Genomic DNA, 17,356 nt, shown 5'->3' on the forward strand with positions numbered 1-17,356 from the left:
TCTTACCGGTTCAGTGTATGAAAACCCCAGACCTTCTGCAGCTGATTTTATCAGCTCAGACTCCAGCTTATGACGTTTCACAAACATTGTTAAATCCTAGAGAAAAAGAAGTAAAGAAAGACATTTTTTATTTAAATAGCAGGTAAGAGATATGATAAATGTTCAGGTGGCAATATTTTCATTAGATAGTCACAAATGAGCTAACAAATATTCAGAACTGCAAGACTTGGCCCCATCTCAACATACTTTCACACGCTAGCATGTATGAATAAAAATGTGCTTCAGGCATAAATAAAGTTTGAAAGAACCGAGTTCAACAACCTTTGCTAAATTGTTAGACATCTTTAAGACCAGTGTCATATTTTTATCAACTCTCCCCCGAACACATGCAGAATCAAGAATTTCTTTTCAGGCCAGGCGCGGTGGCTCACGCCTGTAATCCCAGCACTTTGGGAGGACGAGGCGGGCAGATCACCTGAGGTCGGGAGTTCGAGACCAGCCTGACCAACATGGAGAAACCCCGTCTCTACTAAAAAAAAAATACAAAATTAGCCGGGTGTGGTGGCATGTGCCTGTAATCCCAGCTACTAGGGAGGCTGAGGCAGGAGAATCGCTTGAACCCGGGAGGCGGAGGTTGCGGTGAGCCAAGATTGTGCCATTGCACTCCAGCCTGGGCAACAAGAGCGAAACTCTGTCTTAAAAAAAAAAAAAAAAAAAGAATTTCTTTTCAAAACATTGGTCTCACCTCTCTGGCCTCAATGGATGCCGGGTCAATGCTATCATCCAGCAGACTCTCATAGTAATCCACATTGTCTAGGACATCCTCATCATCTGGATGGCATAGAAGATAGGCTTTGGCACACTCCAGGGCTTTCACATACTCACCAACTGAAAGACAAAGGAGTTGCAGCATTAGAGTCAGCCTAGGTCTGTCCAAAGGATTTTAAAGGGAGGCCATCAACGTGTCTACAAAGGTCAGCATTAAACATGAATAAGAGGGAAGATAAATTGAGGCTCAGCAGAGAAAGCAGAAACAGTCACAGATAAAAGGAAAGACATGATTTCAAGTATTCAAAAGTTATTACCTTTGGTCTGCTTTGGTACTAGTTGTTTTGTGCAAATCGTCAAGTTTCTATCTGAAGATGTTTGTTGACAACTTTTATTATTTAACACATATAAACAGCAGAATTCTATGAGTTAATTCTGATTTTTGTACCGAGTTTGGGTTAAGTAAACATCCTGAAGGTGATCTTTGCAACAGTAATGTACCATTTTATATATAATGTATGAGTAACATAAGTGCTTTTAAAATGTTATTTTTCATTGCTGCAGTTTGTGGTAAACTGGTACTTCAATGCAAAGTCCTTCATAGAGTCCCAGATGTTCTGGAGGAAGCCCCTTAAATCCTTCACTATACAATTATAGCACATCCTACAGTAGCAAACTACTAAAAGGAACTAACAAGGATGTTTCCAATATAAACTTTTCATTATAGAAATATTTAGCTATTACAAGGGAAATTTTAAATGTCTGTATGCCTTGTTTTCAAATAGTTCACAACATTGTATTTCTTCTAATGGAAATTTACAATATACGTATGTGTGTATATATATGTGTGTGTGTGCATGTATGTGTGTATAATAAATACATACACACACACACACACATATATATATACTCTGAGATGACTCTGATTTTTAAAAGGAATGATAAAAATTAAGCAACTCTCTCATCTTTGATTCACTGTTTATGACTTGAGCACGTGATTCACTGTGTGCCATCAACGCCAGGATAATAAATAATGTTTTGTTTTTGGAAAGGAAGAGGATTTTGCAAAGTTCCTTTTAAATTCAGTTCTAAAAAAATTAAGTCTAAAAAACCATGCAAAATGTCAATCTAGTATAATTTTCAGTAAATTATCACAGCATTAAATTTTGTACTTTGCCCATTGGTGATATCCCCTTCTGCTCTTCTTGTCCTGCAGCTCAGGAGAGAAGAAATGCATAAATTCCTATTGCTTTCATAATAAACTGAAGAAGTCAGAAAACTCAATTACAAAAATGTGATGTCTGTAATGATGAACCACAACCCCCCAAGAAGTCTTCACGGATGATCCACGCTTTACCTCGATAGTAGGCAAACTGTAGGTAATCATAGTGCAGAGGAAGAAAATTCTCGATGGGAGAGAGGCGGCCAGGGCGGGTGGCAAGTTCCCTCACACATTCATGCTGACAAACAAGCACCTGCATGTAGTGATCTGGAAGACAAGAGCCAATACGTGTGTTCCTCCAGGTTGCTGAGTGCCCAAACGTCAACGTCACAGCCACAGTTACACAGGTCATTCCTCACCTCACCACACTGGAAGACCAAATTATTATAATCCTCACTTCCGGACTGCAAAACCTTTTTACAAAGAAAGTAGGTGACTTGCCAAGGTCTCCTGGTCAGCGATCACTAGAACGACAGTAGATTCCGAATCCTCCAGCTCACAGTCTGTTCTCTACACCTCACTTTTCCCTTCCCATGTACACTTTTTATACCCCACAGTCCACTTTACCCCACCTACACCCAGCTGAATGTCAGTTTTCATATTTAACAACTTTGGGGTCTCTCTTTGGATATCTTGGATGGCTCGAAGTGCCCTGGAATCGGGAATGGAAGTTCAGATGCTAGTAAATGTTAAGGAACAGTTTGGAAAAAGAAACCACCATGGGCATGGAAAATTCAGGCTGAGAAGTGAAGCAAAAGTGCTCTTTTTCTTTCTTAACATTTTCAAGCCAAATTGTCCTAAAAGAGAAATAAAAACTCTTTTTTTTTAAACCTATTGGTCAGAAACCTATTCTATCCAGTTATAAATTAGTCTATCGCCTAGACATAGTATATTCTAATACTAAGTACATTGTATATTCTTTACCAGAGACTGGTAAAACAGGCAGAAGGATGTAAACTAAAGGAATGAGCATCTTATTTCCTATTTCTCTTCACTCCCCTTTCTATTGCTCCCATTCTTCTTGCTTGAGAGTCCTGAAGTGTTAGGGTCTTCATGCCACCTTTGGCTCTGGACTCTATTTTATCAAAGCCTGAGATGAGGAAACACAAGTGGTGAATGTCCCAGAGAAGAAAATGCCTCCTACGTTTCACCTTGACTGATTTTTACAATGAAGATGGATGTATTTTCCAGCAAGAAAGATTCATTCATGGCTGCGCTGAGTGGGTTCTTTTGAGAATGATGATAAAATCATTTGATCTCATAGCTGTGCAATTTAATTTACCACAACTGCCTTTTTTTCAAAAGGTTCTCTGTTTAGTCTGAGTTTGGCTTGGATCTTGGTGATTTTGCAGAGGGACCCCAAAACACAACAGGAAGGAAACGTGCATTTTCTGGTGTGGGGGAATGTGCCAGTTTTGTATAACTTGGCTAACTGAATCATTTATAGCACAGCTAATAGAATCCCTAAAGCCCATTGGTTATTAACCCCAGTCAGGGGATGTGAAGGAAGAATGAGTTCTATTTATTTGATTAGCATGTTAGAAATAAATAACCAGCTGTTTCATTTCTTAAGAAAACAAAAATAAACAACCTTCAACTGTTTTCTCCTACTCAACTTACCATTTGCATTTCTATTTACTTTCTAATACACATTCCTTTTAATTCCAAGTGACAAGCAAAAGGTAAAGGCGAAAGATACCCACCGAGAACTCAAAATCTGAATGGAAATATTTTTTCAAAGCGGATACAAATAGCAGCAAAATAGGAGTGACAGAAAGGTATCCTTTAGGGTTTCATAGCAGAGCTAGTAATAAATAACTGCATTCAGCAGCCATTTGTATTTTTCCCGAACTGTTAATGTCTAACTCTAAAATTCAAATATTCTGATTTTCTAATACATTTGCTATTTAAAAAGCCAGTTTTATACCTAATTTAGGACAATTTTGAAGCAGACAAGAATTTACATAGTGAGAGCTGTCATATTACTTTTATTAGGTATATCCCTTGCCTCCTTTCTATCTTAAATGACATTGTGCAATTAATATGTTTTTAATAAGTTTGAGTCTTAAAAATTAAAGAACCTGAGTTATGAGATCTCTATTCTTTTCCAGCTACCGACATGCTGTGGTGACCTTGAGCAAATCACTAAATATTCATCTGTGGGAAATCGTCGGTCCATTTTCCTAAACCAGATCTAGGACATTGGCCAAAACTGTTCAGTGGCCATTGGTGGAAGCAGGTGTAGAGGCGAATGTGGGCGTGAAAGCAGGATGCATATCTCCCCACAACCACAACACAGTTAACTATAATAAAGGAAGAATCTGCCATTCCCAAATACAAGATCAAGTGTAGAGAAATAGCAATTAAAATGTGAACCACACATAAAACTGACATTCCAAAAATTTAGGCAACTGGATCTGGCAGAGATCCAAAAAAATAAAACTTTCAGGAAAATATCCTCAATAATTGAGATTGCTGTATTGAATTTAGGTGAACTGAGTTGATTTTGGGTAACTGGGTGTGTCACAAATTGGTCATTCGTCACATTAATTTTCAGTCTACTTCCTAGTCTAATTTTTGATAGCTATACCCTAATTGTCTCTATAAGAAACCTTAAAAATAATTCTTAACAATAATCCTAAACCTACATTCTCATAAACATGGAGTATTTAACCATTTTAATCCCTGCTATGAGATAGATGGATATATCATCTCCTTCCTTCATTCATTCATTAATCAACCCATTCATTTAACCAGTATTTACTAAGTAAGTATCTACTATTTGCCACTCACTCTTCTTAGGCACTGAAGATTGAGCACTAAACAGGACAAGGCTTTAGCCGAGAGATAGAAGAAAACAACACTTTGAAGATCTGTAAGTGGAAATAAGCATGGCATATTTAAGGAATCAAAAAGCAGGAGAGAGAGTGAGAGGGAGAGAGAGAATGAATGAAAACATACACAAGTGCCCAATCATGAAAGTTCTTATTAAAGAATTGGATTTTATTCCAAGTGGAGTGTAAACCATTTGGGGTGTTTAAACCAGATCTGTGAGCAGAATTTTGTTTTTTTAGAGACTGCTCTGTGGGCATTTGGAGCAAAACCAGAACAGGACATGAAGAGCAACAAGGAGGCAATCACTGTTGCTTTGAGCCAGGGTGGTAGCAAAAGGGGTGGAGGGAGTTAGGAAGTGTTCAGTGCTATTAGGAGATAACCTCTATCCAAGTTTGGTAAAAAATCATATGGGAATAGGAATTAAGGAAGATGTTGGATTGAAAGGTAACTTGGTTTGAGTTATTAGGTGAGTAGTGCTTTTTGTTTGTTTGTTTGTTTTTCCTTTGAGATGGAGTTTCGCTCTTATTGCCTAGGCTGGAGTGCAATGGCACCATCTCGGCTCACTGCAACCTCGGCCTCCAAGGTTCAAGTGATTCTCTTGCCTCAGCCTCCTAAGTAGCTGGGATTACAGGCACCCACCACCACACCTGCCTAATTTTTTATATTTTTAGTAGAGATGGGGTTTCACCATGTTGGCCAGGCTAGTCTCAAACTCCTGAGCTCATGTGATCCACCTGTCTCAGAATCCCAAAGTGCTAGGATTACAGGCATGAGCCACCGCGCCCGGATGAGTAGTGCTTTTTAGGAAGACTGAAAGCACTGGAAGTTGGGGAGAGCAAACTGATTTTATTCACTGGCATTTCAGTAAGTAAATGAAGTTGAATGTTGCTTTTCATATATGGGTAACTCAGAAAAAAATGTGTGCTCAAAATATTTGTGAAAATTTTATTAATAAATTATCCTTTGCCTACTTTTCAATTATGTAGACCTTAAAAGTATAGATTCTAGATTCAGAAAAGTCCAAATATGAGTTCCAGCTTCACTCTAATCACATCACTTAATCTTTTTCAGATAAATTCCTCATTTACAAAAGGGAGAGGAGAGTAAGTAACAATAGTATCTATAAGAGTTGCTTAAAGCATTAAATAGATAAAAATATGTTAAGTGCTTTGTATGTTACAATTGCTACATATGTGTTGGTTATTATTACTACTGATAATTAAGAAGTAAATTACTATGAACAATAATAATTTACAGGCTCTCTTTGAATATGAAATATATTAACACTTTGCCTATAAAATATTTTGCAATACTTTCTATTTGTGTTTGTAGATCAGCTTGGTTTATCGTATAAATCTGTACTTATAAATCTTAGGTAAAGTTTAACTTGTTCTTTATTTTTCTTGTCTTTTGTCATACTTAGAAGAGCTTTTCTGCTGGGCGTGCTGGCTCACGCCCGTAATCCCAGTACTTTGGGAAGCCGAGGTGGGCGGATTACCTGAGGTCAGGAGATCGAGACCAGCCTGGCCAACATGGAGAAACCCCGTCTCCATGAAAAATACAAAATTAGTTGGGTCTGGTGGTGCATGCCTGTAATCCCAGCTACTCGGGAGGCTGAGAAAGAAGAATTGCTTGAATCCGGGAGGCAGAGGTTGCAGTGAGCCAAGATCACGCCATTGCACTCCAGCCTGGGCAACAAGAGCGAAACTCTGTCTCAAAAAAAAAAAAAAAAAAGAGCTTTTCTTCTCCTAATATTATACAAATATCTTCCCTCATTTTGTTCTAACAGTTTTATATTTTACACTTATATTGTTATTACAAATACAATTTATTTTTGTGTAAGGCATACAGCAGAGACCCCACTTTCTCCTCATAAGTGGTTAACTAGCCAATCTCCCAAATTATTCTATAATGTGCATTACCTAGTATTTTAAATGCCGCTTTGTAATATATTAAATTCTTATTAAGTAATAAAACATTTTAAGTAGTTGAAGACTACACAAAAGTGTTCACTACTACATTGTTTATAATAATGAAAAATTTCAGCCTCTTAAACACTCATCACTAAAGGACTAGTCAATTAAATTATGATGCGTTTATATAACAGAGCATTACCCAACCATTAAATACAATAAAATGGCTCTACGTACTTACGTGAGAAGAAGTCCACAATATATTGTTAAGCATAAAATAAAACAACAAAAGTTGAAAAACATTATATATAGTATTGTCCTATTTTATAAAAAATGAAATAATAACTATAAATAAATACATAAATATTTACATAAGGACCTGAAAAAGTTTGGGAAGACAGTCACCAAAATTTTAACTACATACATTTCTCTACAGGAGATAGGCTGGGATAGACACATGAGAGTCTTTTATTTTTACAGTATATTCTTCTATTTTGCTGGAATAGTTTTTTACAAATTGCAAGTAGTATTTTTATAATCAAGAAAGAAATAAAATGAAAAATTAAGCTTTTACCTGCAATAGCTTCATACAGACCAGCCTTATACCCTAAATACTCATATTCTTCAAATCTCTGAGGCCCCTCACATAGGGTCCGGCATTCTGTATCTTCAACGAAATATTCTCTTAAGGCTTGTTCGAAGTGCCTGATAGCCATCTCAAAGTCATCAGCCTCATAATGTTTAACTCCTGCATTGTAACTCTCCTGTAATGAAACAGACGGGAAAAAACAAACAAACAAACAAACAAACAAACAAAAAAACCCTTATTTTCAAAGAGAAGGGTTTTTGTTGACTCAGGATCATCTAGGTAGATGGGGTACTGGATGCTTCTGCTGCGGAGGGATAAAGAAGGGTTGCACTGGGAGATAAAGAACAACATTCCTGGCTTCAAATGCTTGTAAGTGAGAGGGGTCTTACTGAGCAAATAGATTGCTATGTGATCAGTCAATGTCGTTTTTTTCCTTAGCACATGCAAGACTGTGTTTTTGAAATCATTTGCCTATAGGTAGGGCCATGTAACAAGTGCAGGACAACAGATGTGGGTGGAAGTGACATCCACTTTTAGGCCCTGCCTGTGTTTTTTGTTTTTTTTTTTTAATATTTTCTAAAATCTTTCCTTATCCTTTTCTGTGATAATTTTGGAGGCTACATGTTGAGAATGGTGATGTCAAAAATTAAAAAAAAAAAAGGCTTTCAACATGTGATTTCAAGTAATGTTTAGTCTATATAAAGAACTACATCACTTTTTAAAACCCCAGTTTGAAACATACAGGTACAATGGGCAAACCACTGGACTGGGAGCTGGAAAATCACAGTATAATCCTGAACAATTTACACTGGCCTCACCTCCTAGGTATAAAATAAGAGTATCAGAAAGGTTCAGAGAGGATTATAGAGAATTATATGATGTTCTAGTTTTTATCACATTATGCCAATTTTCTAAGTTAATTTTTATTTTCTCTTAATTTAAAAATTTTTAATTTTTTAGTTTTTTTATTTCAACTTTTAAAATTTTAATTAAAATTTTAAAAAACCTCAATTTTTTCAGACCTGATCATTATATTCTGAGAATTCTGAAAGTCCAAAAATGTTACTAAAATTTGAGAATAAACTTTATGAGATATTCATTCATAGAAATTTGCTGTGACTCAGATGAAACTTAGGAGCACTTAGCTCCCTGTGGTGAGGGCAGGGGCCCACAGAGCTTACCATGTGTGGCTTGGCTTCTCTGTCTACCAACTGCAATGCTTCAACACCAGCTGTCGCCCTGTAATTCTCAATGTTCTGCTGCATTTCCATGTGCTCAGGGTTAGCCACGAAAAATGTGTGAGCTGCTTCCACTGCTTTTTCGAGCTGGTTAAGCTAAAGAGAAAAAAAAATGACCAAAATGAAGGCAAATATTTCCAAATCACACTCAGAGAAATACAAAGATCAATCCAAAATCTCACAGTTTAAGAATGAAACTAGGAGCCTTGGTTTTTTTTTTTTTTATCAGACAGGCAATAAAAACAAAATAAATGGGATTATAACAAAGTAAAAAACTTCTGCACAGCAAAGAAAGCAATCAACAGGTGAAGATACAACCTACAGAATGCAAGAAAATACTTGTAAACTATATATCCATATCCAAAAGGGGTTAATATCTAGGATCTATAAGATATATAAAAAGCTGAAAAAACTCTATAGCAAGAAAAGAAAGATTAAAAAATGGGCAAAAGATCTGAAATGACATTTCTCAAAAGAAGATATACAATTGGCCAACAGGTGTGTGAAAAAATGCTCCACATCACTAATCACCAGGGAAATGCAAGTCAAAATCACAATGAAATACAACTTCATTCCAGTTAGAATGGTTATTAACAAAAAGATAAAAGATAACAAGTGTTGACAAGGAAGTGGAGAAAAGGGCACCCTTATACACTGTTGGTAGGAATATAAATTAGCAAGACCATTATGAAAAACAGTATGGAGTTTCCTTAAAAAATTAAAAGTAGAACTACCATAAGATCCAGCAATCTCACTGCTGGGTATATATCCAAAGGAAATGAAGTCAGTATGTTGAAGCTATATCTGTACTCCCATGTTTATTGTAGCACTATTCACAATAGCCAGGACATGAAATCAACCTAAGTGCCCATCAGCAGATGAATGGATAAAGAAAATGTGGTACATATACACAATGAAATATTATTCAGCCATAAAAAATAATGAAATCCCATCATTTGCAACAACATGGATGAATCTGGAGGATATTATGTTAAGTGAAATAAGCCAGACACAGAAGGACAAATACCACATGATCTCATTCTTATATGGAATCTGAAACAGTTGATCTCATAGAAGTAGAGTGGAACGGTGATTGCCAGAGGCTGGAAAATGTAGGAAAGGGAGAGACAGGAAGAGGTTGGTCAAAGAGTACAAAGTTATAGTTAAAGAAGAAGAATAATTTCTGGTGTTCTATTGCACAGTAGGATAACAATAGCTAACAATTATGTATTGTATATTTCAGAATAGCTAGAAGAAAGCATTTTTAATGATGTCACCAACATAAATGATAAGTGTTTTAGGCAACAGATTTGCTGATTACCCTGATTTAATCATCATACAATGAATACACATATGGAAACATCACACTGTACCCGTAATTATGTATACTTATTATGTGTCAATTAAAAATAAGACAAAACTTTTAAAAAAATTAAAAGGATAAATTATTCCAATGCATAAAGATGCTAAGAACAGCACATAAAATGCTTTACCACACAGCTTTGAGATATTTGATTCCAAACTTACAACTTTGATTCTCATTAATAAAAAAGAATTTTGAACCACCACTACACAGACACTGCCAACTGTCTCCTAAACCACTTAATACAATGATCTCCATGTAACAAGCAATGATATATTTTTAAAAAATGGAATTAATTTACCCATTTTAACACATTTTTAAAATTATTTTTGAGACGGAGTCTTGCTCTGTTGCCAGGCTGGAGTGCAATGGCGCGATCTTGGCTCACTGCAATCTCTGCCTCCAGGGTTCAAGCGATTCTCCTGCCTCAGCCTCCGAAGTAGCTGGGACTATGGGCACACACCACCATGCCCGGCTAATTTTTGTATTTTTAGTAGAGATGGGGTTTCACCATGTTGGCCAGGATGGTCTCGATCTCCTGACCTTGTGATCCGCCCACTTCACATATTTACATATGCTTTAGTCATGGAGAATTTCAATAGAGAGATCCATTTACCTCACATCAGAAAAATAAAAATTCACATTAGTTATCGTTTTCATGGTGGAATCTAAAATATGCTCAATCCATTTTAGTGTGAAGAAATGAAAACTAATTGTTGCTGAACAATATAAAATCACAGAATGGCATGTAAGATTCAACTGTATCTGCTTTTGACCATTTTGCCACTCAATTATTAAAAACTAGAAGTAGTAGACTCACAAGTGCCCAGTCCCTGCAGTCTTGTGAAATATAATCAACTCTTAACACAAAAACATAAACTGCCCTGTTTTAAGACCTAACATCCCATAATAGTAAAGCTTTCCCTTTTCAAATGTAATTGCACATTTTTAGCTACTGTCTTTCCTTCCATTAAATCTTGCCTGAAATGAGCTCTTCCTGCCACTTTTACCTTTGTCCTCAATTCTGTGCACTCAGAATTATTTTGACTGTCAAAATCACTAATTTTGGATTTCATCTTTCTCAACTTTAATCTTCTCAATCTCTTACATATCAATACAGATAAATATGAATTGTATGCATCTACATAGTAATAACTATATAGGTATAAAGAATGGGTTCAAAATTATGTGTGGTTTGCATTTATTGGCCAAGTGAACCTGGAAAAAGTTGTTTAAACACTGGTGCTTTAATTTTCCCTAAAGAAAAAATGCTCAAAAGAACTATACACCATCATTTACTGTGGAGGATTTTGGAAGGATTCAACTGTGAAATACATATGAATGTGTTCAGCAGTCACTAGAGCACTAGAAAAAGATAAATAATAGCATACAATATATAAATGATCTGTTTCAAGGAGGTGAATCTGCTCCCATTAATGAAGAGTAGAGTTTATAGCTCCCATGAACACATAATATAAGAGGATAGAGTAGGTGCTTCTGGTTGGTGAAAATTTTCTCTGGGCAATAGCCAGTCTACAAGCTATGAGTACAACAGATTAGTACTGACATACTCTGATTCTACAGCACTAGACGTTAAAGTTAATGGAACACAAATAAATATTTATGTTCTTAATTTTCCTACTTTATGCTTTGGCTCAGGATATTCCACTGACTTAGAGAATCTTTGTCCCTCTGTCTTTTCTTACTGAAATATGTCATGTCCTATAAGGCCAAGCTTAAATCCTGCCTTCTCTAAGAGACCCTTTCCCATTCCTGTAGCCATAGTTGGGTACCACAATATACTCTCAACCTGTTCCTTTACTGGTACTTACCATTCTGTACCTTATATATGCATCAGTATATCTGCTTCTCCCATTAGAGCTTTCTGTGGACATGGATCATATGGTATATTAATCTTTTTATTTTCTACCTATTTACATACAGAGTATATCTATGCTATGTCTTAGAAAAGAGAAAAAAACTTGTAAGAAGTAACTTGTAATAAGTTCAAAGGTATATTACATGTGAATATGCTTCATGAATTATAAGGCAGTGGTCCCCAGTCTTTTTGGCACCAGGGTCCAGTTTCATGGAAGACAATTTTTCCATGGATGGGTTGCAGGGATAGTTTCAGAATTAAACTGTTCCACCTAAGATCATCACGCAAGATTCTCATAAGGAGCACACAACCTAGATCCCTCACTTGCACACTTCACCAGAGGGTTGGCACTCCTATGAGAACCTAAGACCTCCACTGATCTGACAGGAGACAGAGCTCAGGTGGTAAGGTTCACCTTCTGCTGTGCAGCCCCGCTCCTAACAGGACTGTACTGATCCATGGCCCAGGGGTTGGGGACCCCTCCTATAAGGTACTAAAAGTTTGTACATTTAATAAAAACTTCTCTGAAATCATCATTCATACTGAGAGCTTCCAATGTGGTTATCACGATGAATGTGATTCCGTAGCTCTTGAAAACAGTCAATGTCAACAAACTGGGTCCTTTTCTCAAATTTGACGTTTTGCTTATTTGGTGCTTTCCTCCTTTATAGTCCAGAATTGAAGATACTACAATCTATAAAAAAAGATTCCATGACTAAAGGCTGAACCATAAAACTTCATGAACTGGCCCTGGCTTTTAAATTATTGTGAACCAGTTTAGGAAACTAGAATTTGCTGCCAGGGTCTATAAAATAAACCACTGTTTTAACTGGAAGCTTGATACCTCTGTCTTCCATTGTATAAATACACACATCCAAAGTGGTAAGAAAAGTCCACATAAACATGTGCATGCTACATATAATGTCATATGATTGGATGGAGGTTATTACAAGGCATAGTCAGTACTAGGTTTCAGCTAAGGAAGGACCTACCCACTCCTCCAATGAAACAAACCAACAGCACACTACAGTTAAAGGCTCCAAACTGGACTTCCTTTAAGACCTAATTAAAACAAACCACAGGAGCGAGTAAGTCTAATATGGGGGTAACTCTATGCATTAGAAAAATAAACTGTGAAATAAAGAACAATGGAGAAAAGGGGAATAATCTGACATGAAGATGGTATTGACGTTTAGGGGAGGCCACTGAGATGTCAGAAATACTGGTAAAAATGCCTTCAAGAAGCTTAGGGCCATTTCCTCTCAAGCTGTGAAGAACTAAGGCAAACATTTTCTCTTGCCAGCCCAGAAGCATGACTACGTGGTAGTCATACTGTATGGACAAAGAAATGAACATTGACTAAATCAACAGCCTGCTGACGTTCAGAAGTTACACTGTCCTTGAACCTGTGAGTGAATGAGGTTCCTCTGACACAGAAAGAGTTTTCCATAGCTAGTAATAAAGGACGGATTGCTAAAGCACACATTGACTATTCAAAAATCTCCAGTAGTCATCCATTGACTAGAAAACAGATTTCAGACACTCCACATCATGACATTCAAGAACTCTGGGATTTGGCTCTGTTTTTCCTGGCATCACTTCTTCCTCTCTGCCATTATACCAACTCTTTCCAGAGAAACTGAACTTCTCTAAGTTTTAAAACTTACCACCCGCCTATTCAAGAACACACACATAGGTCCAATTCTCCAGTCATGCCCCAGTTCATTAGTTCACCCATTTACTTATTCAGCAAATATTTATTTTGCACCAACTCTGTATCAGACACTAAACAGAATACCTACGTGGTCAAGACAGACAAAGGCCCTCCTTTCTATAACAAATGTTGACATTCTCATAGAAGGGGACAAATCCCAAGTAAATAAATAAGTAAGGAAAGTAATTTCAGATTGTATTAAGTGCTATGAAGAAATAATGAACAAAGTTGTGAGCACTGACTGGGACTGGGCTGGAAGGAGAACTCCTTTAGATTCATTCATCAAAGATTTCTCTTCAATGTAATTTTTGAGCTGAGACCTAAAAGTTGAGAAGCCAGGCATGAACCGAACAAGAGGAAGGGCATTCCAGGCCAAAGAAAGTCAAGTGAAAGGTGCCTGAAGTGGAAAAAGGCTTGATGTGTTTTCAAAGCAGAGCAGAGATCAAGGAGGGAGATTTTAGAAGTTAGAGAAGGACGGATCATTTGTATAGGCTATGGTAGAGTTTAAATGTCATTCTAAGTGCACAAGGAAACAGTAAAAAATGTTAAGGAGGGATATAATCAGATCTGATACACATTTTAAAATGATAATTCAAACTTCTTTGTGGAAAACAGATCTTCCTAGAGGGCAGAAGAGCACTGCAGTAATCAGTCAGAGATGATGCTTTTACTTTGCAAAATAATGCAGCACAGCGTAAGTCAGTTGCCTGTTTTACTTTCCTTCCATTTCCTGCCTCGATTCCTTTCTCTTCGTCTATTTTGCCCATCCTTGCTCTAACAATGTTTCTCAATTCAGAAGGCAAACACGTAACACAAAAGGAAACGCTTCTAAAATTTCCAAAGATTTTGTGTGGAAAATATGTAAGTTCCCTATTTTCTGAATTAGGATATGTAGCTCAAATATTTTGAATACGAAATTAAGAACAACTTGTAAGGCACGTGCAACAAAGAAAAGGGGCTAATAATTCTAAAGCACATTAAAACATGGAAATACCACTATGTACTTCTCAAATAGAATATTTGGCAGCACTTTTTACTCTTTTGAAGGTTTTTTGTACAGAGTAAAACATCAAGCGTAAAATAAGTAATTTCCATTATTCTCAAACATCAACATTTTCAATAAATGAATGAATTCTTTTTCTACTTTCGTCACCCTAACTTTGGGAATTTATCCATTACATTTTAATGAAGTGCTATGGTTTTTGCCTTCGTTTTTTTACTTAAATTTCACAATATAGTAACTTTAGAGATTTTTAACTCCCAAGTGACAAGCATGTAAGCTGACACTGAAGACATCCTGTTTCTAAGCCACAGCGCAAGTTCTAAGCTCTAGCTAGCAGCATAAGCACAACAGCTAGAGAGAAAGGAAGTCATCAAATTACAGCATGTATATCACACTAAACAACCAAATTCATCCTTTGATGAACCTGTAAGATGTGTGTGTGTATACACTCATATACATACACATGTCACAAGGCACATTTGTAGACATTTCATTACTTGCTAAAAAGTCTCCAAATTTACTCGAATTTTTGCCAACTTGAGTTAATTTTTCTTCATAGAACCAAATAAATAAATACATTTCTTACAATATGAATAATATATTAAAAGAATATTCTTAAAATTTACAAAACATCAAATTTTGAAATAAAATTTGGAAGCAGTTTGTTCAACCTACTGAATTAAACGAAATCCTGTAAATTACAGTATTTAAATGTAAAGTATGGGCTTATGAATGAGAATTTAATCTTATTTTAGGACATTCCTAAACATTTCTATATAGCAGAGTCAGATTTTTGGAGTAAAATAATAGCCATATAGCAAATAACTTTGCATTTTATTTCACAGTTACTGATGATGTTAATACATTAATATAACTTGTAAAAAGATCCATATTTGAAATTTTCACAATTCAGTTATAAGAAAAAACAGTTTATATCTCCTGACAAATTTATAAAATTAATTTTAACATCCATAGAGAACTACCTAATATATTCTGTTGCACCTTTTGCCTTGACTACTGGGAAGCTCAGAATTGCATTCACTGTCATTTACAGTAACTATATTATATTATGTTGGGTTTCTTTCTTTCTTTTTTCTTTTCTTTTTTTTTTTTTGAGTTGGAATCTCGCTCTGTTGCCAGGCTGGAGTGCAATGGCATGGTCTCAGCTCACTGCAATCTCTGCCTCCTGGGTTCGAGCAATTCTCCTGCCTCAGCCTCCCAAGCAGCTGGGATTACAGGCACGCGCCAACACACCCGGCTAATTTTTGTATTTTTAGTAGAGATGGAGTTTCACCGTGTTGGCCAAGCCAGTCTTGAACTCCTGATCTCGTGATCCGCCCACCTTGGCCTACCAAAGTGCTGGGATTACAGGCGTGAGCCACCGTGCCCGGCATTATGTTGGGTTTCTAATGTGTCAAACTAAAGCTGGCATATTTCACTTTTTTCTTTGAGTGTTTTTGTTTCCATTTCAAAAATCTAACTATACAAATAGTTGCCTTAGCAAGGAAACTCAGGGACATACAAAAGGTACAACCTATTTAAAATATATACTCCCATAGTAAGGGAGATTTTTATACAATATATTCCTTTTCTACATCTCAAGGCAGAACATTTTAAAATTTCTAGCTTTGAAGAACACATGTTAATTCACAAGTTAGGTGGCCATGCTAATGTAGAAAATGAACTTATCTTTGCATTTATGGAATGTCACTCTAAAATACAGTCATAGGTATAAGTAACTATTTATCGTTTTCAAAATGCAATTTGGTAAGGATTAAATGGAAATGACGTTTCTGAAGAGTAATATTTCCTCTGTGGAGTAAGTTGGAAAGGAAGAATGAACATGCTTTCTTAAAGTGCTTTCTTTTGCCAAACTGCTTATGCTCTTTCCCTCAATTACTTATGGTCCTGATTCTGATTAATAGACTCCTGCTTTTTTAAACACTCTAGTGAAGTTTTAGTCTTGATGTTTACATTTTAGTGTTAAACACTAATGGTGAATAGCCATGGCCAAATGAGGATACTCTTAGGAGCTCCGTGAAACAACAGATTCCATCAGCTTTCTAGAAGATTTCTTATCTAAATAGAAACCATCTTTCTGGGTAAGGAAAACATTAAAGTGAAGACACAGAACTTTTAAACATACTATTTCCGATTAGAGACTATTAAAAATGAAATGCCCTTGATGTTAAAAAAAAAAAAAAAACTATCTAAGTATTAGCCAGAAATAAGTGTGTGCTTTGAATTAGACAAAATCGCTCAAGTCATCTGTGTATTGTCTAACTTCCTACCAAGGGAACAGCCAAAATTTGAATGGCTGCTGGGTAAGAAGGAGAGCACATTATCTTAGTGATGGAAGGTAGACAAGTCGTCTCTGCCTCGGGTCGAATGAAGTTAGTGTGCATGGTCTATTGGTATGTTACTGTTGTTTTTGGTTCTAAATGCTAGGACAGGGTAAGACTGAATAACTGGGCAGGGATCTTAACCTCTGCAGTGTTTGTCCAGCACTCTCCCTTGAGGTGTCAGATGATGACTAATGGTTACCGAAAAGCAGTGTGGGCCAAGACCTTGCTGACATTTGTTTCCTGCTACTGTTTTTGGAATCTGCTTTAATCCTTTTCAAAGTTTATTCTGAAGGTAGTTGTCATTAATTTCATACCTTAGCTTTGCCAGCATCCCATGACTATGGTAGTAGTCATTACTTTAACATCTCAAGAATCTAGTTCATGTCAGATTTTGAAAAATAAATAAATAGAAATCCAATGTTTCTCTATGTGAGTACAGAACTCTACTCCTCTTATACATGACCTCTGTATTGGTGAGCACAATCTA

At 36.4% G+C, this 17,356-nt stretch overlaps 1 protein-coding gene across 2 annotated transcripts in view; it reads right to left on the minus strand.

Annotated features, from left to right (window-relative positions):
• The window catches only part of P3H2 (prolyl 3-hydroxylase 2), a 165,551-nt gene that overhangs the window by 30,054 nt on the left and 118,141 nt on the right, over nucleotides 1–17,356 (minus strand). For both annotated transcript variants that reach the window (NM_001134418.2, NM_018192.4), the window contains exons 2-6: nucleotides 8,509–8,661; nucleotides 7,313–7,502; nucleotides 2,126–2,257; nucleotides 746–888; nucleotides 7–96 (exon numbers count right to left, since the gene is read on the minus strand). In NM_001134418.2, coding sequence (NP_001127890.1) covers nucleotides 7–96; nucleotides 746–888; nucleotides 2,126–2,257; nucleotides 7,313–7,502; nucleotides 8,509–8,598 — 645 coding nt within the window. In that variant the 5' untranslated portion in view covers nucleotides 8,599–8,661. The remainder of the gene's footprint in view (nucleotides 1–6; nucleotides 97–745; nucleotides 889–2,125; nucleotides 2,258–7,312; nucleotides 7,503–8,508; nucleotides 8,662–17,356) is intronic.

This window comes from Homo sapiens, chromosome 3 (assembly GCF_000001405.40).
Source record: "Homo sapiens chromosome 3, GRCh38.p14 Primary Assembly".
In the NCBI taxonomy this organism is placed as follows: Eukaryota; Metazoa; Chordata; class Mammalia; order Primates; family Hominidae; genus Homo; species Homo sapiens.